The following is a 26,545-nucleotide window of genomic DNA, read 5'->3' on the forward strand; positions in this document are numbered from 1 at the left end:
GTTTTTGAGATAGGGTCTCGCCCTGTCACCTAGACAGGAGTGCGGTGACACAATTATAGCTCAGTGCAACCTCAAATTCCTGGGCTCAAGCTATCCTCCCACCTCAGTCTCCTGAGTAGCTGGGACCACAGACACGCACCACCAGGCCTGGCTAATAAAAAAAAATGTAGAGATGGGCACTCACCATGTTGCCCAGGCTGGTGTTGAACTCCTGGGCTCAAGTGATCCACCCGCCTCGGCCACCCAAAGTGCTGGGATTGGATTACAGGTATGGCCCACTGCGCCCGGCCTATTTAATTAAATTAATTAATTTATTTATTTTTAAGAGACAGGGTCTCACTCTGTTTCCCAGGCTGGAGTGTGGTGGTGTGATCATACTTCACTGTAACCTGTAACTCCTGGGCTCAAGCGATCCTCCTGCCACAACTTCTGAGTAGCTAGGACTGCAGATGCATGCCACCACGCCCAGTTCATTTTTAAAATGTTTCGTAGAGACAAGGTCTTCCTGTGTTTCCCCGGCTGGCCTGGAACTCCTGGCCTCAAGCAGTTGTTCTGTTTTGGCTCCCAAAGTGTTGGGATTACAGGCATGTGCCACTGTGCCCAGCCTATTTTTATTCTTTTAATCTTAAAGCTTTAGTCTTTCAGTTCTAGGAAATTTTCTTATGTGATTTATTTGGTAATTTCCTTCCCACTGTTTTCTCTTCTTGGAATTGCAATTAGTTGGATGTTGGATCTCCTGGACCGATCATCTAATTTTTCTTATCTTTTCCACGTTTCCATTTCTTTGTCTTGTTTACTTTCTTCTACTCAATTTTTTTTTGAGATGGAGTTTTGCTCTTGTTGCCCAGGCTGGAGTGCAATGGCGCAATCTTGGCTCACCGCAACCTCCGCCTCCTGGGTTCAAGCGATTCCCCTGCCTCAGCCTCCCGAGTAGCTGGGATTACAGGCATGTGCCACCATGCCCGGCTAATTTTGTATTTTTAGAAGAGACAGGGTTCCTCCATGTTGGTCAGGCTGGTTTCGAACTCCTGACTTAGGTGATCCGCCCGCCTTGGCCTCCTGAAGTGCTGGGATTACAGGCGTAAGCCACTGTGCCCAGCCATTTGACTAAATTTTTTTTTAAAGCTGTTGTATTTGTGATTCTCCAGAATTCTTTCTGTTGTTTTTGTTTTATAGCAACCTGTTTAATGAGTATAATATCTTCTCTTACCCCTCTGAGAGTTTTATTTTTTTTTAATGTTTATTATTATTTTTTTGAGACAAGAGTCTCACTCTGTCGTGCAGGTTTGAGTGCAGTGGTGCGATCTTGGCTCACTGCAACCCCTGCCTCCTGCGTTCAAGCGATTCTCCTGCCTCAGCCTCCTGAGTAGCTGGGATTACAGGTGCCCGCTACCACACCTGGCTAATTTTTGTATTTTTAGCAGATATCGGGTTTCATCATGTTGGCCAGACTGGTCTTGAACTCCTGACCTCAGGCAAAACGTCCACCTCGGCATCCCAAAGTGCTGGGATTACAGGTGTGAGCCACCACGCCCAGCCTCTCTGAGAGTTTAATTATAATTATTTGAAATGTTCTTTTGTTTTACGCATGTTCTTTTTTGACTTTCTGTTTTCTTTGACTTTGATTTAGTCAGTTTTAGTCACTTTGTTCCATGTTAGAGGCCTTCTTTAGATGTCTGGTGTCATTCACTGATTATTCTTTTTTTTTTTTTTTTTTTTGAGTTGGAGTCTTGCTCTGTCGTCTAGGCTGGAGTGCAGTGGCACAGTCTCGGCTCACTGCAATTTCCACCTCCTGGGTTCAAGCGATTCTTGTGCCTCAGCCACCCAAGTAGCTGGGATAACAGGCATGTGCCACCCTGCCTGGCTAATTTTTGCATTTTTAGTAGTGACAGGGTTTCGCCATGTTGTCAGCCTGATCTCGAACTCCTGACCTCAAGTGATCTGTCCACCTAGGCCTCAATAACCCATCCACTGCGCCTGGCCTGATTATTCATATTTAAGAGTAGAACTCTGAAAAGCTGATCAGAAGTTCTGTGTGTGTAAGCTTCTCTGCAGGGTAGTCAAGTGGTTAGCTGGCACTTGATCAACAACTTCAAATAATAGTGTCTGTAGGGCTGGGTGTGGTGGCTCACGCCTGTAATCCCAGCACTTTCGGAGGCTGAGGCAGGTTGATCACCTGAGGTCAGGAGTTCAAAACCAGCCTGGCCAGCTGGTTTGGGGGCGCTGAGGCAGGAGAATCGCTTGAGCCTGGGAGGTGGAGGTTGCAGTGAGCCAAGATTGCACCATTGTGCTCTAGCTTGGACAACAAGAGCGAGACTCCATCTCAAATAAATAAATAAGTAAATATTGTCTGTAGATCTTTTTTTTTCTGGGGAGGATCAGTTGGTGCTAAGAAAGTTCTGCCATTCATTTGCCTGGAAAAAGCATTCTGGAGCTGAGTGAGAGAAGATGGAGATCTTACCTCTCAACACGCGGACTTTCACTAAACTCGAGTTTTTACATTAGTACTTTACTCTGTGGATCTAATCTTTCACTTTTTTTTTTTGTCCCGGGGAATTTAACTCTCCTAGGGTTAGTTCTTCGACTTAGTATGGAGATGGGAGCCTTTTTGGTCTGTCTGTTCCTTACACAGACTTGTAGATGATCTCCCTGTTTTTAGCACTCCACCTTCTGCCTTCTACAGTCTTCAGTTCCTTTAATTTTTTCCCTTCCTTCTAATTTTTCCTCTAATGTTTGAACCTTGCTGGGGTTCTATAGATAGATTCAACTTCTTTTGTGTATTCCCCTTTGCAGGCACTTAGGTTTGATCTTACCCCACTCTGCTACATCATGGACCATTGCTTTATCCCCACTCTGTCTTTTCAGGTGTGGGATTCCACATGTCTTCTAGTTTTACTGATGGATTATGTGTGTGTTTGTTTTCTTATTCTTGTTTGGGATTGATTACTGAAAAGATTCCACTGTCTTTTTTTTTTTTCCTGGGTTCAAGTGATTCTTCTGCCTCAACCTCCTGAGTAGCTGGGATTACAGGTGCCCGCCACCACACCCAGCTAATTTTTGTATTTTTAGTAGAGACAGGGCTTTGCCATGTTGGCCAGGCTGGTCTCGAACTCCTGACCGCAGGTGATCCACCCTTCTTGGCCTCCCAAAGTGCTAGGATTACAGGCATGAGTCACTGCGCCCGGCCTCCACTGTCTTAAAACAAAAGTTCCAGTGGAGAACTACTTTAAAGACAATCAAAGTGACTTTTTAAAAAAATTATAAGACTTGTAAAACTTTGGTCCTTCTTGCTGATTTTTATTTAAGCAGTATAAATGACTCCTCAGTTTGAAAGCTGAGGAACAAATACTGTGACCACAATTTTATTGGTAATTGTCTTTAAAAAGCCATCTAGCTATTCTTCACATCAGTTTCTTCTTCAGTGGGTTGACATTGATATCAGCTATTTGACTTTCCTGTTGGAATTGTTTTAGATTAATGATTTTTTAATCTGTAAAACATGTTAGGTATAGAATTGAAGGCAGCATAATAGTGCTTGTCCCAGAAATGTGAAAAGAAGTACTGGTCAAGATTTCTTCTTTTATTTGAAACAGAGTCTCACTACATCACCCAGGCTGGAGTGCAGTGGAGCGTTCTCAGCTCACTGCAACCTTTGCCTCTTGGGTTCCAGTGATTCTAGGGCCTCAGCCTCCCAAATAGCTGGGACTACAGGTGTGTACCACCACGCCTGGCTAATTTTTGTACTTTTGGTAGAGACAGGGTTTCACCATGTTGGCCAGGCTGGTCTCAAACTCCTGACCTCAAGTGACCGCCCACCTCAGCCCCCTAAAGTGCTGGAATTATGGGCGTGAGCCACTGCGCCCAGCCTCTGGTCAAGATTCTTAACTGATTCATTCCTTGTGATGTGTTATTTATGTCGGATAATCAGGCCTGACCATATTAGGCATAATTAGATCTTGGGTGAAGTATGTTTTTGGCACAGGTATCTAGTGAAAAAAAGAGTGCTTGTTTTTTTTCCCCACTCATGGTGGGTGGGGTGGTATATTGGGAAATCCATAGACTTAATTACTGCTAAGTGTCAGGCCTCATTCTGGGGCCCAGGGATCCAGGACCTAAGCTGTTTGCCTCTGCTTTTGCTTGGTTGCCATTGTTTCCCATTCTTGGGGTTCTTTTCTTAATCCTGGCTAGAGGATCTGATACTGTCTCCTTCCTTGTCCTTGAAAGCAAGCTCATAGCAAAAATAATGAAAATAAAGATGTCATTAGGGTTAAGTTCAGGGCTTTCATTTCTAAATCCCCAAGTAAGATGACTATAGGCTCCCTTTGAGTTCCTTCCTTCTGATTTTAATTATCCTGGAGGCAGAGTACTAACCCCTCTGACCTGAGTGTGTGGTAAGTGTATACCTCTTCCCCCAGACTTTAAGATGAAATCAGAGTAGAACCAGGTATCCCCTTAAGTGAGTTGTTTCAATCTGGACATTCTGTCTGGATTTATTAGTTCTCCTGGGACTGTTTACTTCTTATAGGAATGGTACCATTCAGGTATTTGCTTAGAGTGGAATAGTGAGGAAAAGACTATCAACAGCCATCACCCGACCCTACCAGTTGCAGCAAAAATATACCATGGAAGCAAAATACTATTGCCTACGGCATTAGTTCACCTCCCACTGTACATTTTAGAACCTTTGGCCAAAGGTGTTCTCCACCTCTGAAATATTGCGGTTTCATAGAACAATAACTTTCTCACTTTTGACTTACTTGATTCCTACAATGCCTGTTTTTTGGCCCTAAGCCCTTTAGTTAATAAATTTTAGTTAATAAATTTTCCTCATGTACAATTTGAGAGTTAACTGCAGATTTCATAGCACTTCACCCCTAATTTCATCTATACATCTCCTAAGAATAAGGGCATTTTTTTTTTTTTTTTTTGAGAAGCAGTCTCACTCTGTTGCCCAGGCTGGAGTGCAGTGGTGCAATTTTGGCTCACTGCAACCTCCACCTCCTGGGTTCAAGCGATTCTCCTGCCTCAGCCCCACAAGTAGCTGGGATTACAGGTGCCTCCTACCACGCCTGCCTAATTTTTGTAATTGTAGTAGAGACGAGGTTTCACCATGTTGGCCAGGCTGGTCTCAAACTCCTGACCTCAGGTGAGCCGCTCTCCTCGGCCTCCCAAAGTGTTGAGATTACAGACTTGAGCCTCCGTTCCCGGCCTCTTTTTCCTTTTGTAGTTAACAAGTGATCTGTGGAATGATAGAAACGGTGTGAATATTCTGTCCTATAATAATCTTTACTTAATGGTTTTATCTGGATTGTTTCTTGCCCAAATATTACTGTACTGTAGTGATTATAAAATGGAGACTTTTCTATTTTTTCTGTATTTTTTCTATATTGTCATTAGTCTGTAAAGATTTTTTTATACTCCTTTTTTTTTTTTTTTTTTTTTTTTTGAGATGAAGTCAGGCTGGAGTGCAGTGGTGTGATCTCAGCTCACTGCAGCTTCTGCCTCCCGGGTTCAAACTATCCTCCTGCCTCAGCCTCCAGAGTAGCTGAGACTACAGGCGTGCGCCATCGCGCCCAGCTAATTTTTTGTATTTTTAGTAGAGATGGGGTTTCACCATGTTGGCCAGGATGGTCTCGATCTCTTGACCCCGTGATCTAGCCACCTTGGCCTCCCAAAGTGCCAGGATTACAGACGTGAGCCACTGCGCCTGGCCCTATACTCTCTTTTAAAAAAATTTGTTTGTTTTTTTTTTTTGAGATGGAGGTTCACTCTGGTGCCCAGGCTGGAGTGCAACGATGTGGTCTTGGCTCACTGCAACCTCCATCTCCCAGGTTCGAGCAATTCTCCTGCCTCAGCCTCCTGAGTCGCTGGGATAGGTGCGTGCCACCATACCCAGCTGATTTTTGTATTTTTAGTAGAGATGGGGTTTCACTATGTTGGCCAGGCTGGTCTTGAACTCCTGACCTCATGATCTGCCCGCCTCAGCCTCCCAAAGTGCTGGGATGACAGGCATGAGCCACCGCACCTGGTCTTTTTTTTTTTTTGTGAGACAGGTTCTTCCTCTGTTGCCCAGGCTTGAGTGCAGTGGCATGATCATGGCTCACCACACCCTTGGACACCAGGCTGCCTCAGCTCACTGCAACCTCTGCCTCCCAGGTTCCAGTCATTCTCGTGCCTCAGCCTCTGGAGTAACGGGAGTATAGGTGTGTACTATCACACGTGGCTAATTCTTGTATTTTTAGTAGAGATGAGGTTTCTCCATGTGGGGCAGGCTGGTCTCAAACTCCTGGCCAACATGGTGATCCGCCTGCCTCGGTTTCCCAAAGTGCTTCATATTGTTAGCCCTAATTCTAGTCCAATTCCATAGCGTTCTTTTTTATTTTTATTTTTTTATTTTTGAGATGGAGTCTCGCTTTGTCCCCCAGGCTGGAATGCAGTGGTGTGATCTCGGCTCACTGCAGCCTCCACCTCCTGCGTTCAAGCAGTTTTCTGCCTCCGCCTCCTGAGTAGCTGGGATTACAGGTGCCTGCCACCACGCCCGGCTAATTTTTGTATTTTTAGTAGAGACGGGGTTTCATCATCTTGGCCAGGCTGGTCTTGAACTCCTGACCTTGTGATCTACCTGCCTCGGCCTCCCAAAGTGCTGGAATTACAGGTGTTAGCCACCGTGCCCGACCACATTCTTCTTTCAGTTCATATTTGGATATCCTTTTTTTCTACAGTGAGAAGAACTCTGGTAACAACATAAACGCACTCATTTGTTCAGTTGTACAATATGTGCATAATGAAAATTGTAATACCAATAGTATTTCCAGCTACAAACCTACTAAGTTTGATTTAATATTTCTTTGCAATTTTTTGTGTGCTTACATATAGGCCACTAAGGGTGTGCAGTCTAAAATTACTTAAATATCTTTTTCTCGCTGGGTGCAGTGGCTCACACCTGTAATCCCAGCACTTTGGGAGGCCAAGGCGGGCGGATCATGAGCTCAGTTCGAAACCAGCCTGGCCAGCATGGTGAAACCCCATCTCTACTAAAAATACAAAAATTAGCCAGGTGTGGTGGCAGGTGCCTGTAGTCCCAGCTACTTGGGAGGCTGAGGCAGGAGAATCACTTGAACCTGGGAGGCGGAGGTTGCAGTGAGCTGAGACCATGCCACTGCACTCCAGCCTGGGTGACAGAGTGAGACTCTGTCTAGAAAAAAAAAATCTTTTTCTCCTATATCTTTTTTCTCTTTCTCTTTCTGTGGTAAAGTTATTGGTGTAATAGTCAATTAAATTTGTGTATTCCTATTGTATTCAGTTGTACTTCCTACCCCTCATCCTTGTTGATTTTATTTTATTTTTGGAACTCATTAAACATTAATATGGTTCAAAAAGAAAAATCTACATTTTATAATTACAGTAATATTTGATTTAGGGAAGAAAAAAATGGATGATAAAACCATTGGGGTTTTACTCAGAAGGTATTCTCAAAAGTCTTATTTCTTTTCCTTCCCTTCCATTATCATTAGCTTTTAGTTTATCTTAGTTGTCTTCATTTTTGCAGGCATAAGCAGATACATATTATATATATTCTCATTTCCCCTTTCTTGTACAAAAGATAGCATAGTATCCATGCTGCTGTACTTTTAAGTACTCTTTTGTATCTTGTTTTTATAGAAATTTTTCTTATTTTTATTTTATTTATTTATTTATTTATTTATTTATTTTTTTGAGACGGAGTCTCACTTTGTCACCCAGGCTGGAGTGCAGTGGCGTGATCTCGGCTCACTGCAAGCTCCGCCTCCCAGGTTCATGCCATTCTCCCGCCTCAGCCTCCCAAGTAGCTTGGACTACAGGCACCTGCCACCATGCCCGACTAATTTTTTTTTGTATTTTTAGTAGAGATGGCGTTTCACCGTGTTAGCCAGGATGGTCTTGATCTCCTAACCTCATTATCCGCCCTCCTCGGCCTCCCAAAGTGCTGGGATTACAGGCGTGAGCCACTGCGCCCGGCTGATTTTTCTTATTTTTATAGCTTTGTTACATGTTGTGTAGATTCCATAGGTTTTGGGCCAATATCCTATGTCTGAGCATTTAGGCTGTTTCTAGTGTTCCACTTTCACAGATAATGTTGCAACCAATTACCTGTGTATTTGCTTTCCATATTACTTATGGAGATGTACCATCAGGGTAACTTCCTGGAACTTATACCTGGCATGTCTAAAACAGGGCATCATTTTCCCAAAACTTTTTCACTTTCTTTTGCCAATATTGAATGGCACCATTATCTGTCCTATTACTTATGCAGAAATAAAGGTATCATCATTTCTTCTCATAACTAGTTTGTCAGCAAATGCAAATTATGTATTAGCCTTTCATTTTTTTCTATCTTCATTTTCTTATAGATCTTCTTAGTTGGTTTATTATACTAGCCTCCTAACTAGTCTCATTTCTTTCCTAATACTCCCTACTGCTACTAGATGTGTCTTTCATAAAGCCAAAGGTGTGTTCATTTCACCCAGACCTTCCTTTGCCCAGACGTTCCATTTCCTGGCCTTTGCCTACTTCTCTAGCCTAATCTCTAACCACTTCTAACCATACCAAACTACTTGTAGATTTCCCAGACGTATTCTGTCCTCTTTTGCACTGGAATGCCTTTTTTTTACCTTCTACATTTCTTTCTTTCTTTTTTGTCTTTTTTTTACCCTTTTTGTGGAGAATGGGGTCACGCTTGTTACCAGGCAGATCTCGAACTCCTGGGCTCAAGCGATCCTCCTGCCTCTGCCCACCTAAGTGCTGGGATTACAGACATGAGCCACCACGTCCAGGCCACATTTCATTTTAATAACTTTCAAGCGAGACTTTCTGCTAGGTCAGATGTGGTTCCCCTGTTTACCCTTACCATCCTGCACTTGCCTACATTGACTTGTCTTTTTTTCCCTGAGACTTTGGGCTCCTGTCGACTTTTAGACTCCTATGGACAGGGCATTCCTTCTATTCTGCTTTCTTGGCACAGCCTGGAGGATGGTAGACACTCAATAGTTTGTGAATATATGAATAAACTTGATCTGATTACAGATTTCTTTTTTAAAAAGTCTCTTTAGGTAATTCACTTACGTGTTCACTGCAAAAAATCCAAACTGCACAGAGGCATATATAAAGTGAATGTTTTCCATTACCCCATCTCAGTTTCTAGTGGGAACTATGGTTAATAGTTCAATATTGGCAGGAAAAACACAAAATAGATTTTAGAATAAAATAGATTATAGAATAAAAATGTTCACTATTTTGTTCTTATAGATGATCTCTTTTCCTTTAGGCAATGATAGTAAGAAATGCTAAAGATACAGCTCATACAAAAGCAGAACGGAATATTCTGGAGGAAGTAAAGCATCCCTTCATCGTGGATTTAATTTATGCCTTTCAGACTGGTGGAAAACTCTACCTCATCCTTGAGTATCTCAGTGGTCAGTACACAGAGTTTGGTGTAATTATTTGCATTTGCTCCAGAAACTGGGTCAAAATGTTATTTTTCAATGGAAGAATACTTTTTCCCATTATGATCAAATAGTGCTTAAAATTGATGAGTACACTGAAGTACAAAATTCAGATGTGACCAAATGTTTCTATTGGCAGACAAATATGGAGGAAACTAAAGATTTTTTTCCCTCATCTGTAAAATTTTATTTTAATTCCTTTGTAATCACTCACTTAACAGAAAAACGAATACCTAAGTGATGCAGAGCCATCAAATTGTAGTGGGGTAAGATACTGTAATTTAAATAATTGGGAAGATTATTTAACATACTGACTATTTTTGGAATTGGGTCTTTAAACAAGAGTTTTTAGTTTAATGTAGCCTTAGTGATGGGGTATGTAGCTTATAATGGAAATCATCCATATTTGCCAGGGCCTACCACCTCGTAGGAACTTGTTGATTCCATATCATTTCTAGATCACAGGTGTCTATTTATTTTTTTTTTTGAGATGGAGTTTCACACTGGTCGCACAGGCTGTAGTGCAATGGTGTGATCTTGGGTCACTGCAACCTCTGCCTCCTGGAGTTCAAGCGATTCTCCTGCCTCAGCCTCCCGAGTAGCTGGGATTACAGGCATGTGCCACCACGCCTGGCTAATTTTTGTATTTTTAGTAAAGATGGGGTTTCACCATGTTGGTCAGGCTGGTCTCGAACTCCCGACTTCAGGTGATCCACCTAACTCGGCCTCCCAAAATGCTGGGATTACAGGTGTCAGCCACTGCACCCGGCCACAAGTATCTATTTCTAGCAAACACAGTTCAGTTCTCTGAGAAGGATTTTGCAGTAACGTGTAACATGGAACAGAAAGCTACAGAATGTAGCAACTGTTTTGTGACTATTGCCATTGGAAAAACTTTTTTTTTTTTTTTGAAGATGGAGTTTCGCTCTTCTCTCCCAGGCTGGAGTGCAGAGGCGTGATATCGGCTCACTGCAACTTCCGCCTCCCAGGTTCAAGCGATTGTCCTGCCTCAGCCTCCTAATTAGCTGGGACTACAGGCATGCGCCACCACACTTGGCTTTTTTTTGTATTTTTAGTAGAGCTGGGCTTTCACCATGTTGGCCAGGCTGGTCTTGAACTCCTGACCTCAGGTGATCTGCCCACCTTGGCCTCCCAAAGTGCTGGGATTACAAGTGTGAGCCACTGTGCCCGCCCGGAAAAACTTTATTTTGACATAATTTCATACTTAACACAAAAAGTTTTAAGAGTAGTATAAAGAATTCCTATGCCAGGCTCAGTGGCTCATGCCTGTAATCCCAGCACTTTGGGAGGCCAAGGTGGGCGGATCATGAGGTCAGGAGTTTGAGACCAGTCTGGCCAACATAGTGAAACCCTGTCTCTACTAAAAATAGAAAAATTAGCTGGGTATGGTGGTGTGCTCCTGTAATCCCAGCTACTCGGGAGGCTGAGGCAGGAGAATCGCTTGAACCTGGGAGACGGAGGTTGTGGTGAGCTGAGATCGCGCCAGTACACTGCAACCTGGGCAACAGAGCAAGACTCAGTCTCACACACACACACACACAAAATAAAAGAATTCCTATATATTTCTCACCTAGATTCCCCAGATGTTACCATTTCACCACATTTATTTTGTTTTATCCTATGTATATGTATATATGTGTATACATATATACATGCATGCATACATAATTGTTTTGAACTGTTTAAGAGAGTGTTACAGACATGATTTCCCTTTACCCCTAAAATTTCAGTGTATGTTTTCTTTCTTTTCTTTTCTTTTTTTTTTGAGATGGAGTCTCACTCTGTCGCCCAGACTGGAGTGCAGTGGTGCAATCTTGGGCTCACTACAACCTCTGCCTCTCGAGTAGCTGGGATTACAGGCACCCACCACCACGCCCAGCTAATTTTTGTATTTTTAGTAGAAATGGGGTTTCACCATGTTGGCCAGGCTGGTCTCGAATTCCTGACCTCAGGTGATCCGCCCACCTTGGCCTCCCAAAGTGCTGGGATTACAGGTGTGAGCCATTGCACCCAGCCTATTCAGTGTATATTTTCTAAAATCAAGGACAGTATCTTACATAACTATACTAAAATGATCAGAAATAGGAAATTAACATTGATGCAATTATAACTCTTCTTAGTTTCCTTTAATCTGGAACATTTCCTCAGTCTTTCTTTGACTTTCATAATGTTGACATTTTTGATTAGGACAGGCCAGTTAGTTTGTAGAATGCTTTGGGTTTAGCTGATGTTTCCTTAGTATTAGATTCAGGTTATGCAATTTTGGCAGGACCATTGAAGTGACATTGTGTCCTCCTTAATGCATCAGATCAAGAGGTACATGATATTTATATCTTTGTCCCATTACTTGTGATGTTAACTTTGGTCACATGTATAAGGTGGTGTCTGCTGATTTTTTCCATGGTGACGTTTTTGTCTTTGTAATTAATAAGTATCTTTTGAGGAGATACTTTGAGATTATTTAAATATCTTTCATCAAGCTCTCATGTTCAGTTTTGTTGTTTTTTTTTTTTTTGAGACGGAATCTCACTCTGTTGCCCGGGCTGGAGTGCAGTGGCACGATCTCAGCTCACTGCAACCTCCACCTCCCAGGTTCAAGTGATTTTCCTGCCTCAGCCTCCCAGGTAGCTGGGATTACAGGCATGCACCACCACACCCAGCTAATTTTTTTATTTTTAATAGAGATCACCCCTGACCTCAGGTGATCTGTCCGCCTCGGCCTCCCAAAGTGTAGGGATTACAGGCGTAAGCCACTGCGCCCAGCCCACATTCAGTTTTGACATCCATTGAATCTTGCCTGCAACAATTAATTGTGATGTTTGCCAAGTACTTTTTCTTATTCCGTCACGTCTTCTTCATTTATTACTTGGGATTCTACTGTAATAAAGAACTTTCTCTTCTTCCCCCTTTAAAACATTTATGTATTCATTTATTTATGTCATTGTGGACTTAGGGATCCTAATATCATTCAATGTGATATAACCTTTTATTATCATTATTTATTTTGATACTCAAATTGTGCCATGTTTTTTACTAGGCCAGTGCCAGGTTTATTCTGTTTATTTAAGGGTTCTGAAAATACGAAATATGAGCATTCACTAAAATTAGTGAGGGTGATTTAATTGTAGACTATCATTTTTCTACCTATGGGTAAAATGTTAAAGAGTCTTTAATCAATATATATATTTTTTAACCTCAGGTCTGGAATCTACAGATATTTTAAAGTTTGTAGATATAAAACCTGGAATTCCAAGCCAGTTCTAGTTTTTAAATATATGTGTGTCACAGAAGAATAAGAATGCTACTAAAAATAGAATCCTGAGGACTTAGTTTTAAAACCTATAATTTTTAGGATCTGTTTTTCATTTTTAAGGGGCTGATGTCTTTTAATTATGGTTAGAAGGAAAGCACAAACTCTCTCATTAGAAGTGGGTTGGAAATAAATATTGTTTTATTTATAATGTTTTTTCTTTTTCTTTACAGGAGGAGAACTATTTATGCAGTTAGAAAGAGAGGGAATATTTATGGAAGACACTGCCTGGTAAGTGAACTTTTTGTGGTTGCATAGATTCAGGTAATTACAAGCAAAGCCCCATTCCCACTATGGGCAGCCACATGATTCAGTAAATTGAGCTGGAGCCAGTCACTCACTCAGGACCTCAAGGGGGAGAAGCAGTTTTGGGACTGGGCAGCTATGGAGGTCACATCATTCCTTTGCCCTTAGGCTTGAGTGGAACGCTCTTCACACCAGTTGTTCCTAACAGAACCATTCTCATTGCGGCTTTCTTTCCTTGAATTGGTAAGCTGCCTGCCTTGGCTGTGGGTGAGTGTGGTTTCCCAGTGAACCTTTATGTGTGGAACAATGGAAATTATCAGAAATCATCCCTTTTTTTTTAGGCTTTCTATTTCTCAAGGTACAGTCTTAGGGAGGTGATAAACCTGGGCATATCATCTGTAGATTGATTATGTAGTCAGGGTGGGATTTACCCTCCTATTTCTAAACATGTCATCTGCTTCAAATTAAAAATATGCACATCCTTTTGTGAAGCAACAATATTGGGTCACAATAAATCAGTTTATCCTACACATTAATTTAATAGAAAACAACACTTAAATGTTTTTTTCTACCTTGATTACCAAAACTGCATTCCATTGTTTAATTTCAGGCCTTTTCTAACAAAGAAGCTGCATTTAAGAGCCTTAGGGATGAAGTGCCCTTTTTTGGAGGAGGCTCACTGAGCCGTGTTGGAGGCTGTGTTTGTGGTCGTGCTGGCTGTGAAACTGCCTCAGTCCTCTAGGACACACCCTCTCCATCCTGGAGTAATCTGCAGGATTGCAACATTGTTATGCAGCCAGTATTGCAGTGCCTTGTGCTTTTCGAATCCAGACAGGGTTGATTCAGCCCTTTATTCTTTTGAGGTAGATAAATTTGGGTGTCACACAGTTTATAGTTGTGGGCTGGCTGGCAGGTGGGAGGGCAGATACTGTGGGCCTCAGCTGTCTATAAATATGTAGCTGTATTAAGTAAGGGATGAGTGGGCTTCTAAGGGTCAGGTTATAAGATACCTTTTGAAATCAAGATGTGATCTCTGAGAATAACAAAGTTCCTATTTCCTATGGGATTTTAAAGTTGGGTGTGGATGGGAGAAATTTGCTTGAAATGAATGGCTATTAGCTTAATTCCTACACAGACAGAACAAAACATGACCAATGGCAGTTTAGCATATTCTGGACATCTTTGCAATTTTAGCAATATATTCTAATGGCAAAATAAAGCACTTTATAGTTTCACTAAAATGAGTGAAACATAAATGTCCCCATGCCTTTTGGCAGCATCCTATGCCATCTCTTTTTCCAATACATCCCCCTACCCCACTAATTTGGTCTTTGGTGCATGTCTGTTTCTTTCAAGGAATTTTGCTCCATACGTAAACTGCTTTGGATAGATTACACTCTTTTTAATTTTATTAAATCACTTTTGTTTCCAGCTTTTACTTGGCAGAAATCTCCATGGCTTTGGGGCATTTACATCAAAAGGGGATCATCTACAGAGACCTGAAGCCGGAGAATATCATGCTTAATCACCAAGGTGGAGACATACCGTAAACAATTCTATAGTAAATAATCATCTTAAAATCCTCCCACATAGGTCGTGGCCATTTTCAAAGCCCCAAATTCATCTCTCTATTTTGTATATTTCCTCCCTCAGAATTCATGGCATCATAGTACTTGCTGATATTTTAAGTCTTTAGGTAATTACGCTTGGTGAGAGTAAAAGAAGTTGAGGATAATAGTCGCTCAACTGCCTTTTTTAGTTTAATCCTTACTCTTTATAGTTTTTCATGTTTTTGGAATCTTTACATCAAATGTTGTATAATGTTTTAGACTGTAAAAGCCAGTCTAAACATTAATTTTGGCTTGTTACTTAAATTGAAAAGTGAATCTCAATTATATAAGTTGAGTTTTAATAATGAAAATATGTAAATATTGGCTGGGCACAGTGGCTGACACCTGTAATCCCAGCACTTTGGGAGGCTAAGGTGGGTGGATCACCTGAGGTCAGGAGTTCAAGACGCCTGGCCAACATGGTGAAACCCCATCTCTACAAAAATACAAAAAAAAAAAAAAATTAGCTGGGCATGATGGTGGGTGCCTGTAATCCCAGCTACTCAGGAGGCTGAGGTGGGAGAATCGCCTGAACCCAGGAGGCGAAAGTTGCAGTGAGCCAAGATCGCGACATTATACTCCAGCCTGAGTGAAAAGAGCGAGACTCCGTCTCAAAAAAAAAGAAAATATGTGAATATTAGAAGCTATGCTTCTTACAGTAGGTTTTATTAATGCTGGGAAAAGGATTGAAATTGAACCAAAGTATTTGATAAAACTTTGGAAATATGATGTTTAGTAGGCATCAGGTTACTTTTTTTTTTTTTTTTTTGAGATGGGGGTCTCACTCTGTCATCCAGGCTAGAGTATGGTGGCATGATTACAGCTCACTGCAACCTCCGCCTCCCAGGCTCAAGTGATCCTTCCACCCCGGCCCCTCAAGTAGCTGGGGCCACTGTGGCACACCACCACGCCTGACTAATTTTTGGTATTTTTTGTAGAAATGGGGTTTCATCATGTTGCCCAGGGTGGTCTCAAACTCCTGAGCTCAATTGATCTGCCTGCCTTGGCCTCCCAAATTGCTGGGATTACAGGCATAACCCACCTTCCCCCCAGCCAGAATCAGTTTATTCTTGCTGTTTGTTTGTAACAACAAACATAAACATCAGAGAGACTGATAATCTATACAACTATAGATATAGCACAGTGAGCCTTGACTACAACTGCATGCTGCTAAAGACAGCTCAATTTATGCTAATCTGGGCTGTAGGTAGACTTGGCAATTCACTCGTACCCCAAAGGAGCAACCAGCTGACCCAGGGTATCTAGAAGGTGGTAGCAGCTGCTAATCCTTAGATGTCTACAGAATAATCCATGAGGTAGTTAATTGTTTCAAACTCTTAGAAAATGATGTATGAACAACTGAGGCTCATATAAACATTCCAGATTATACTCCTCCACCCACCTTTTTTTTTTTTTTAAGGAGAAATGATATACTTAACTGAATATATCATGGGAATCAGTGTCTCTTCCTTCCTCTCATCAACACCTCCTCACTCCCCAAAACGTGGATTCTGATCTGAATTATAAGTCACAGGATAGAATAGGGGAGCGATAGAATAGTTAACTTCTTTGATTTATAAGGTTGAGTGTATCAGATGGTTCTGTGAAAATAAAGGCCATACTTCTTCTGTATCAGAGTGTAGTATATATTTACATTTGAATCAATAGGTCATTGTGCCTTTTCTGTGAAATGAACCTCAAATACTAGAGTCCCTGAGATTGTTGAACCACTTGTTATGACAGTCCAGTAAAGAAAGCTAAACTTGAACTGAAATGATCTTTGTGTAAGGTGGTAAGTTTTTTACTTTCTGGATCAGTGATGATTGATTCATACTATCTAGCAATTTTCTTTCTTTCCCCTAATTGGTAGCATTGGGCAGAATGAGCTACCTTGTTATAATGAGTTTCTGAGACCATTTTAAGGACTCTTCACAGTTCACTGTGATAAAAGCTATATATTTGAAGTACTGTCTCACACCTTTGTTCAAAAGGTACAGAGTATGTTTATTGGGGTCTGTGTACGTAAACTAGACTTCATAAAACAGTTTTCCCAGGATTTTTCTTTTTCAGGATGGTAGAGAATTTTGTATATACTTAAAGCTAGAGCCTTAAACAGGTTATTTCACTTTTTTCTCTATCTTTATTTTCTCTTTACTAGATAGATTGTATCATTGGCAAAAGGTGACTTTGCCCTAGCCTTAAACAGTTAGCATCCCATTTTATGGATGGTACCTTGTTCTTGACATCTGCAAGAAAATTTGAGGCAAGAAAAGTTAAATGGAAGGATAGATTAAAGTATTATGTGACATGTTCAAACACTGCACATACTTATAATTCGGAGAATAATCATGCTGTAATCTTTCATTGTAGGTCATGTGAAACTAACAGACTTTGGACTATGCAAAGAATCTATTCATGATGGAACAGTCACACACACATTTTGTGGAACAATAGAATACATGTGAGCTACATGTTAAACATAATTGGTTTGGGGGTAATAGCTAATTTTACCTGTTTTAAGGAATAGTATCTGTTTTCTGTACCCTCATTGACTCTGTATATTGTTTTTAAAATTCTAATTCAGATGATATGCAAATGGGTGAATTTTTAAGCATATTATTTTCCTCATTGTAGGGCCCCTGAAATCTTGATGAGAAGTGGCCACAATCGTGCTGTGGATTGGTGGAGTTTGGGAGCATTAATGTATGACATGCTGACTGGAGCAGTAGGTGCACAGTTAAAAGCTGCATGTATTATTGGTCTGTGCTGAGTCACTATAGCAAGAGACCTGTCCTGTGCTTTCTGAACATGTTACCAGTGGAGTTTTCAAAGCCCAAAGATTTGTTATTAGCAGTTTAACACTAATAATGCTGTATGATTATATGGGATCCCATACTTTCCGAAACATTTTCTTTTAAATGATCTATGTCATGGCAGGCCTGTGAAATAGATGTTGAATAGATAATGCCCTTATTTTATAAATGGAGAAATTGAAGCATAAAATCACATAGCTCACTTATCACACAGAAAGTTAATGGTGGAAACACAGGCTTCCTTCCAGGACACTGCTACTTCCTCTGTCCTGTTGCTTAAAAACTGCACGTCTGCCGGCCACAGTGGTGCATGCCTGTAGCCTAAGCTACTCAGGAGGCTGAGGTGGGAGGATCATTTGAGCTAAGGATTATTAATAGAATCTAGCCTTGACAACATAGTTGAGACCCTGTCTGTAAAACAAAATAAAGGTCTTTAGCAGTTAGCCCATTTCACAGCATACATTTCTGATCTCCATGTATAACTAATTTAGGAAATGGATAATATTATTCAAAATTTGTTTCTTATATGCTAATATTTTTCTCTCCCTGCTAATATTTTTCACTTGTCTTCTACTCTTAGCCCCCATTCACTGGGGAGAATAGAAAGAAAACAATTGACAAAATCCTCAAATGTAAACTCAATTTGCCTCCCTACCTCACACAAGAAGCCAGAGATCTGCTTAAAAAGGTAAGGTTCTTAAATGGTCACTGACACTACAAGATTCAATGACTAGGATTTAACTAGATAGAATTTAATGTATATTTTGAATAAAGAGTCATATATAAATATTGAACAAAAAAGTCTTCAATTTTTGAAGGCGAAGTACAGATTTGTTTAAAGACTTTCTTTTCATATTCTTTTTTTAAATTTTTTTTTTTTGAGACAGGGTCTTGCCCTGTCACCCAGGCTAGAGTGCAGTGGTGCGATCTTGGCTCACTGCAACCTCAGTCTCCCAGGTTCAAGCGATTCTTCCGCCTCAGCCTCTCAAGTAGCTGGGATTACAGGCACCCGCCACCACGCCCGGCTAATTTTTGTATTTTTAGTAGAGACAGGGTTTCACCGTGTTGGTCAGTCTGGTCTGGAACTCCTGACCTCAGGTGATCCACCTGCCCTGGCCTCCCAAAGTGCTAAGTGCTGGGATTACAGACCCTTAAACAATATTAAGTAGTAATTAGTAAACTATATTTTCTTTTCTTTTCTTTTCTTTTTTTTCTGAGATGGAGTCTTGCTCTGTCGTCCAGGCTGGAGTGCAATGGCATGATCTTGGCTCTCACTGCAACCTCCACCTCCCAGGTTCAAGTGATTCTCCTGCCTCAGTCTCCCTAGTAGCTGGGATTACAGGTGTTCACCACCACGCCAGGCTAATTTTTGTATTTTTAGTAGAGAAGGGGTTTCACCATGTTGGCCAACCTCGAACTCCCAACCTCAGGTGATCCACCTGCCTCAGCCTCCCAAAGTGCTGGGATTACAGGCATGAGCCACTGTGCCTGGCCAATAAACTATATTTTCTCAAGCCAAAGTAGACAAGCACAGTCTAAAAAGGAAAAAAAAAAATCAGTTTGACTAAGGTTCTTTATCCAAGCTTTTTTTCCTCTTTAAAGCTGCTGAAAAGAAATGCTGCTTCTCGTCTGGGAGCTGGTCCTGGGGACGCTGGAGAAGTTCAAGTAGGGATTGGCATCTTTGGTGTTTTGTGGGGAAGATAATGCTAGTTTTATGTATTTCTGAGGGTTATATGTAGTTGCTTATAAGTTTAGCTTATTTTGTGACTTGTAACTTCAAAAAGGTGATTAATTTATCAATCCAGCAAAGTCTAGTCCCCTCAACTTTTCTTCCTGCTTTTTTTTTCCTAGGCTCATCCATTCTTTAGACACATTAACTGGGAAGAACTTCTGGCTCGAAAGGTGGAGCCCCCCTTTAAACCTCTGTTGGTAAGTATACATGAAAGTGTATAATTGGGTGCAGTGGCTCACGCCTGTAATCCCCAAACTTTAAAGGGCCAAGGTGGGAGGATTGTTTGAGGCCAGGAGTTCAAGACCAGCATGGGCAACATAACAAGACTCCATATCTACAAAACATTTAAAAGTTAGCTGGGTGTGGCGGCTTGTGCCTGTAAGTCCCAGCTACTTGCAAGGCTGAGGCAGGAGGATCGCTTGATATTTTTTTAGAATAAGAAAAATCTCAGAGCAGACAGAAACATTATTTTTATTAGCAGTTCAAAGATCTCTGGTCTATCCTCTCCAGCATCTTTATTTTATTTTATTTTGAGATGGGGTCTCACTCTGTCACCCAGGATGGAGTGCAGCAGCACGATCACAGTTCAATGCAGCCTTGACCTCCCCAGGCTCAGGTGATTCTCCCACCTCAGCTTCCCAAATAGCTACGACTACAGACACGTGTCACCATGCCTAGCTAATTTTTTTGTATTTTTTATAGAAATAGGGTTTTGCCATGTCACCCAGACTGGTCTTGAACTCCTGGGCTCAAGTGATCCACCCACCTCAGCCTCTCAAAGTGCTGGGATTACAGGTGTGAGCTTCTGCACCCAGCCAAGCATCTTTTATTTTTGTACTATCTTGTAAAGAACTAAACCCAGTGGCAATTGACTGTATTAGCTATTTTTAAGTCAGTTACCTAAGACAAATATTTCAGGTAGTTGGGACTTTCCTTTTTTTGGTTTGTTTTATTTTGCTTAATTTAACCATTTTAAATATGATTCTCTGGGAATTTTTTCTTCAAAGTATAGAATATGTGTGCATTCGTTTGCTAGGCTTGCTGCAACAAAGTACCACAAACCGGGTGGCTTAGACAACAGAAATTTATTATCTCATAGATCTGGAGACTAGAAGTTCTAGATCACATTGTTAGAGTTGGTTTCTTTGACTACTGTGAGAAACTGTATGTTCCATGCCTCTCCCCTGGCTTCTGGTGGTTTGCTGGTAATCTTTGTCATTCTTTGGCTTGTAGGTGCATCACCCGGATCTCTGCCTTCATGTTCACATGGTGTTCTACCTGTGTGCATATCTGTGGCCAAATTTCCCCTTTTTATAAGGATACCAGGCATATTGGATTAGGGTTCCTCTCTACTCCAGTAGGACCTCATCTTCACTAATTACATCTGCAATAACCCTTTCCAAATAAGGTCACATTCTGAGGAACTAGAGGTTAGAATTTCAATGTACGAAATTTTTTGGGGGTGGGTAAGGCACACGATTCAACCCATAACAATATGTTTGTGAGTAAATCAGTTAGTGTGTTAGTTATTGTCCTTCTCCCACCTCAGAATCTGAGAAAATACAGTTTCTTTTTCCATTCCTTAGGATGTAGTTGGAGAAGGAGGAGGATGATGATGGTGATTATTTTTTGGTCATGGAGCATAATGTCCCCACTTTAAAAAACAACAAACAATTGTAAGGAAGTTAACTGTCATATACCTACTGCCCAGCTTAAAAAATGATTAGGTCATCTTGTTTAAACATAACTGCCATCCCATCATCACACCTCAGAAGTTGACAGTTTCCTTAGTTGTTTTTTTTTTTTTTTCCTTTTTCTTTTCTTTCTTTTTTTTTTTTTTGGGGGGGGGATAGGGTCTTTCTCTGTTGCCCAGGCTGGAGTGCAGTGGCATGATAGTGGCTCATGGCAGCCTCAACCTCCCAGGCTCAAGGGCTCCTCCCGTATAGCTGGGGCCACAGGGATGCATCACCACATCCAGCTAATTTTTAAATTTTTTCTAGAGATGAGGTCTCCCTGTGTTGCCCCACCTAATTTTTTTTGTTGTTGTTGTTTTTCCATTTTTTTTTTCTCCTGTTTGTAAGGATTTAATCAAGGTCTGTATATAGTTTGGTTACTATGTCTCTTAGGTCTCTTTTCATTTATAGATTCCCCTTGTGATTTATTGAAGAAACTGGGTCATTTGTCCTGTAGAATTCTCAAATTTTGATTTTGCTGATGTTATCCCCATAGTTTCATTGACCATGTTCATCTGTTCTCTGAATTTCCAAAAACTGGTAGTTAAATTTAGGTGGTTGATCTAATTCAGATTAAACTCTCAGTATTGCATGCTTTGATCAGGAGGCATAATGTGTAGTTTGTGTGTGTGTGTGTGTGTGTGTGTGTGTGTGTGTGTGTGTGTGTTTAAGTGATGTTAGTGGTCACTGATCATTGCCTATGTCAGCATTTCACTACCAGGGTAATTTGGCAATGTCTGGAGATACACTGATTGTCACAGGTTGGGGGAGGGAATGCTATAGGTACCTTCAGGAGTAAGAGTCAGCACAGCACAGCCCCCTACAGCTAAGCGTTAATAGGCCTAAAATGTCAGTAGCACTGAGGTTGAGAAACTCTGGCCTACTTTTATAATTTCATCAGGTGTTTGTGAAATGGTCTTATTCTAACTGTTATTTCTTCTTTCTTTGTTAGCTGGAATTCTTTCATAAAGAGAAACTCTTTGATCAGTTAGTTACCCAAGGTATAGTTCATACAGTAAAGGCAGGATGTATGTTTGATTCTTTCCTAGTTTTCAAAATAATGAATTAGTTCCCTAGCATCTTCCAGAATTGACCAATGAACTTTGTGTGTGTGTGTTTTTTTCTTTTTTAGTATATTATGAACTTATATGTTTTAACACATTTGTGTTTCATTTCATCGCAGTTATTTTTATTTTATTTTTATTTATTCATTTATTGTTTTGAGGCAGGGTCTTACTCTGTCACCCAAGCTGTAGTGCAGTGGTATAATCTCTGTCTACTGCAGCCTTGACTTCCCGGCCTCCAGCAATCCTCCCACCTCACCCTCTTGAGTAGCTGGGACCACAGGTACACCACCATGCCCAGCTAATTTTTGTGTTTCTGGTAGAGACGGGGTTTTGCCGTGTTCACCAGGCTGGTCTTCAACTCCTGAGCTCAAAAGCAATCCACCTGCCTCTGCCTCCCAAAGTGTTGGGATGATAGGCATGAGCCACTGCACCTAGCAGTTATTTTTATTGATGCTCAATTTTTCCCTTCGTTGAATGCTGGTGCAGTGAATGCTGGGTGCATCTTCATGTTGGTTTCTGAGTCCTTTTGACATGACCACATGGTCTGGTGTTGTACGAGAGAGCAAAATAAGGAAACTGGTGTTCTATGCTTATCTTGTACATTTTCCCCACACTTGGAATCAGCCATTCCTCCAGGGAGTGCAGGTTCACAGTCTGGGCTCTAAGAGAATTATAAGGTCAATGTGGTCATCTTTTAGTATTAAGTCAGATATTCTAAATTATTATTTACTTCCTACATTTGGCCCAAGAGTCTAACCAGATATTTTGGGAAAGAGAGAAGGAATTAAATAAATAAATCTCATGGTTAGAACTGAAGTGATAACTATACTTTCACAAGGAAATATAACTTATAAACCATGCAGAATAGAAAATTATTTTTGTTCCTTTAGATTTCTAAAGGAATGAAATAAGCTGTGGGAAGAAACTTTAACTGGAGCATCTTACCAGTGTTATTCATGTTTTAACTCTGCTTCAGTAGTTTTTCAGGTTTATTACAAACCTGCAGTAGCCAACTGAACTAATTATCTCTAAACAGGGATTTAGCCAGTGGACTAGGCACACTGAAGCTTTGTGAGAGGGGAAATTGATATTAACATTTTTTCCAGCTTGTTTTGAGCTCGATATATTCACTTTTTTTTTTTTTTTTTTTTTTTTTTATTGAGACAGACTCTCGCACTGTCATCTGGGCTGGTGTGCAGTGGCACGATCTCTGCTTGCTGCAACCTGTGCCTCCCGGGTTCAAGCAATTCTCCTGCCTCATCCTCCTGAGTAGCTAGGATTACAGGCACACGCCACCATGCCTGGCTAATTTTTTGTATTTTTAGTAGAGATGGGGTTTCACTATTTTGGCCAGGCTGGTCTCAAACTCCTGACCTCATGATCCGCCTGCCTCAGCCTCCCAAGGTGCTGGGATTACAGACGTGAGCCACCATGCCCAGTCGATATATTCACATTTTTAATAGGAATAACTGTATACTAAAATCTATTTTAGTGCATGTTTAAGATTTGAAGATGTAATTTGACTCAGTACTTTCCACCTACATTTTTTTCTTCATTCTGTGCCTGCTAAGACTATTCTAATACTTTATTATAGTTAACCCCCGTGAAAAGAGCTCCCAGAGCTTACAGTGCATTTGATTGATGTAACATGGACTATTTATTATTTTCTAAATTATTTTGTTTGTATAAAGCAATCTGAAGAGGATGTAAGTCAGTTTGATTCCAAGTTTACACGTCAGACACCTGTCGACAGCCCAGATGACTCAACTCTCAGTGAAAGTGCCAATCAGGTCTTTCTGGTAAGTGAAAGAATTTCCATGTAGTCATGGGAAATTTTAGTGTGAGGATGGGCTCTTCAAAGAAAATTCAGTTTGCTTGCTTTGCAGTTCATGTAGGTAACCTGGCCCACTTTTTTTTTTTTTTTTAAATAAGCCATGCCTTTATAACTTATTGATGCCTACAAAATTTATTTTCATAATCCAACATTTTATTTTAGCAATTAGAGTGGGAATGTACAAATCTTTGGAAAGTATGATTCCCTTTTTTTTTTAGGCCACAGACTTAAAATGATGTTTGGCTTAGCATCTCAACCAAAAATTAGTCATAGCAGTCGGGGAGAAAAACCTCACTGACTACATGTATTTTATTCCTGAAACAGCTATAGATTTTTGGTACTTTTTTTTTTTTTTTTTTTGAGACAGGGTCTCACCTTGTAGCCTAGGCTGGGTGTAGTGTAGTGGTGTGATCACAGTTCACTGCAGCCTTGACCTCCCAGGCTCAAGTGATCCACCCATTTCAGCCTTGTGAGTACCTGTACCACAGGTGTGTGCCACATGCAGCTAATTTTTTATTTTTTTGTAGAGACAGAGTCTCACTATTTTACTCCTGGACTCAAGCTATCTTCCTGCCTTGGCTTCCCAAAGTGCCAAAATTATAGGCATGAGCCATCGTTCCTGGCCCTATTTTTGGTACTCTTAACATAAGTAGGGGATTTTTTTTTTTTTTTTTGAGACGGAGTCTTGCTCTGTCACCAGGTTGGAGTGCAGTGGCGCGATCTCAGCTCACTGCAACTTCTGCCTCCTGGGTTCGAGTGATTCTCCTGCCTCAGCCTCCCGAGTAGCTGGGACTATAGGCGTGCGCCACCACGCCCAGTTAATTTTTGTATTTTTAGTAGAGACAGGGTTTCACCATGTTGGCCAGGATGGTCTCGATTTCTTTTTTTTTTTTTTTTTGAGAAGGAGTCTCGCTCTGTCGCCCAGGTTGGAGTGCAGTGGCGCAATCTCAGCTCACTGCAAGCTCCACCTCCCGGGTTCACACCATCCTCCTGCCTCAGCCTCCTGAGTAGCTGGGACTACAGGTGCCCGCCACCACGCCAGGCTAATTTTTTGTATTTGTAGTAGAGACGGGGTTTCATCGTGTTAGCCAGGATAGTTTTGATCTCCTGACCTCATGATCCGCCCGCCTTGGCCTCCCAAAGTGCTGGGATTACAGGCGTAAGCCACCACGCCCAGTCGATGGTCTCGATTTCTTGACCTCGTGATCCACCCGCCTTGGCCTCCCAAAGTGTTGGGAATACAGGCATGAGCCACCGTGCCAGGCCAAGTAGGGGATTTTTTTAACATTAATTGTGAATATTTGACATCAAAACATATTGGTTCATATGTAATAGTGAATTCTCATTGTAGAAATGTCTGTATAGATTTATAGCTTGTCTCCTCAGAAAAGTAAAGGTTTTTGATGTTGGCCAACAGAAATGATGGATTTATATCAGAAGACCATGAATGCATACTATTTTGCTCAAATAGCACATATGCTTGTTGATTTTATTACTGTACTTAATATGTCACATGAACATCTATCTCATTTTGTATCCTTTTTTTTTCTTTTGTCATTTGTTTTTGGACTACTCTAGGGAGAATAGAATATGGGGAAAATAATTGTTTGGGAGTGTTTTTTCCCTGTTTTTGAGTTCACTGGATTTGTCACTAACTTAATTCTTAAGCTTTTCTTCCCCACATTGCTCACTATGTAATACAAGTAGTGTTGTATCTTATGGGATGGGAAATAAGCTCTAAAGTTAGCATGGAGTTGGGGCATGGTGGCTTATGGCTATAACCTTGAGGTCAGGAGTTCAAGACCAGCCTGGCTAACATGGTGAAACCCCATCTCTACTAAAAGTACAAAAATTAGCCAGGTGTGGTGGCATGCACCTGTGGTACCAACTACTTGGGAGGCTGAGGCAGGAGAATCACTTGAACCCGGGAGGCAGAGGTTGCAGGAGCCAAGATTGTGCCACTGCACTCCAGCCTGAGCGATAGAGTGAGTGAGACTCCGTATCAAAAAAAAAAAAATTAATTAAAAAAATTAAGTTAGTATGGGATGCAAAAGTTGTGTATAGTACAGTATGGTTTTGAGTAAACAACACTGAATAGTAATAATCCTATAAATTAATATAGAGCACATAGGCAAAATATAGTCTTACAGTATTACATAAGAGATAAAAGATGAGTGAGTGCATGCATGTTTTTAAATTCAAGTTTGATGTGTGCATGATCAAAGTTACGGCATCTCTGTTAGTAAAATCTTAGGTTCAGTTAGGGAAGTGGGCATGAATCACTTTAATTTTGGCATTTTTTTTCTCTCATGTACTACAGATGTGGAATTTATACCTTTGATTTAACATAGAGACCTTTTCCTCAATTGGACATTGCAGAATTTCAACTTATGTGACAGTTTTCCCCCCACAAAATAGAAGCATTTTATTTAGCTGCCAAGAAATCCAAAGTTGTGGTGGTAAAAGTGAGATATTGAAGCTTTCGTTGCCAGTTAAAGTATTGTTGAGCTTTTCACAATTACTTAAATTGGCTAATGAATAGAGCAACTCATTTGTTAGGTTGTAGCCAGAATTCTCTACATAAAGTGGATCTCTTTAAACATTAATAAAAAAAAATAGGTCAGGTGCAGTGGCTCACGCCTGTAATCCCAGCACTTTGGGAGTCTGAGGTGGGCGGATCACAAGGTCAGGAGTTCC

General features: G+C 41.0%; 1 protein-coding gene across 25 annotated transcripts in view; it reads left to right on the plus strand.

The window, feature by feature from the left end:
* Window positions 1-26,545, plus strand: part of RPS6KB1 (ribosomal protein S6 kinase B1) — a 57,454-nt gene that overhangs the window by 24,010 nt on the left and 6,899 nt on the right. For 6 of the 25 annotated variants that reach the window (NM_001272044.2, NM_003161.4, NM_001272060.2 and 3 more), the window contains 9 exons: window positions 9,305-9,452; window positions 12,987-13,044; window positions 14,492-14,592; window positions 17,040-17,130; window positions 17,304-17,394; window positions 18,063-18,170; window positions 19,085-19,147; window positions 19,334-19,411; window positions 23,706-23,813. In NM_001272044.2, the coding sequence (NP_001258973.1) occupies window positions 9,305-9,452; window positions 12,987-13,044; window positions 14,492-14,592; window positions 17,040-17,130; window positions 17,304-17,394; window positions 18,063-18,170; window positions 19,085-19,147; window positions 19,334-19,411; window positions 23,706-23,813 (846 nt within the window). Of the gene's footprint in view, window positions 1-9,304; window positions 9,453-12,986; window positions 13,045-13,227; window positions 13,303-13,669; window positions 13,923-14,491; window positions 14,593-17,039; window positions 17,131-17,303; window positions 17,399-18,062; window positions 18,171-19,084; window positions 19,148-19,333; window positions 19,412-20,447; window positions 20,645-23,705; window positions 23,814-26,545 lie in introns of those variants that run through there. The other 19 variants (NM_001369673.1, NM_001369678.1, NR_161456.1 and 16 more) reach the window with 16 other exon arrangements.

This window comes from Homo sapiens, chromosome 17 (assembly GCF_000001405.40).
Source record: "Homo sapiens chromosome 17, GRCh38.p14 Primary Assembly".
Lineage (NCBI taxonomy): Eukaryota > Metazoa > Chordata > Mammalia > Primates > Hominidae > Homo > Homo sapiens.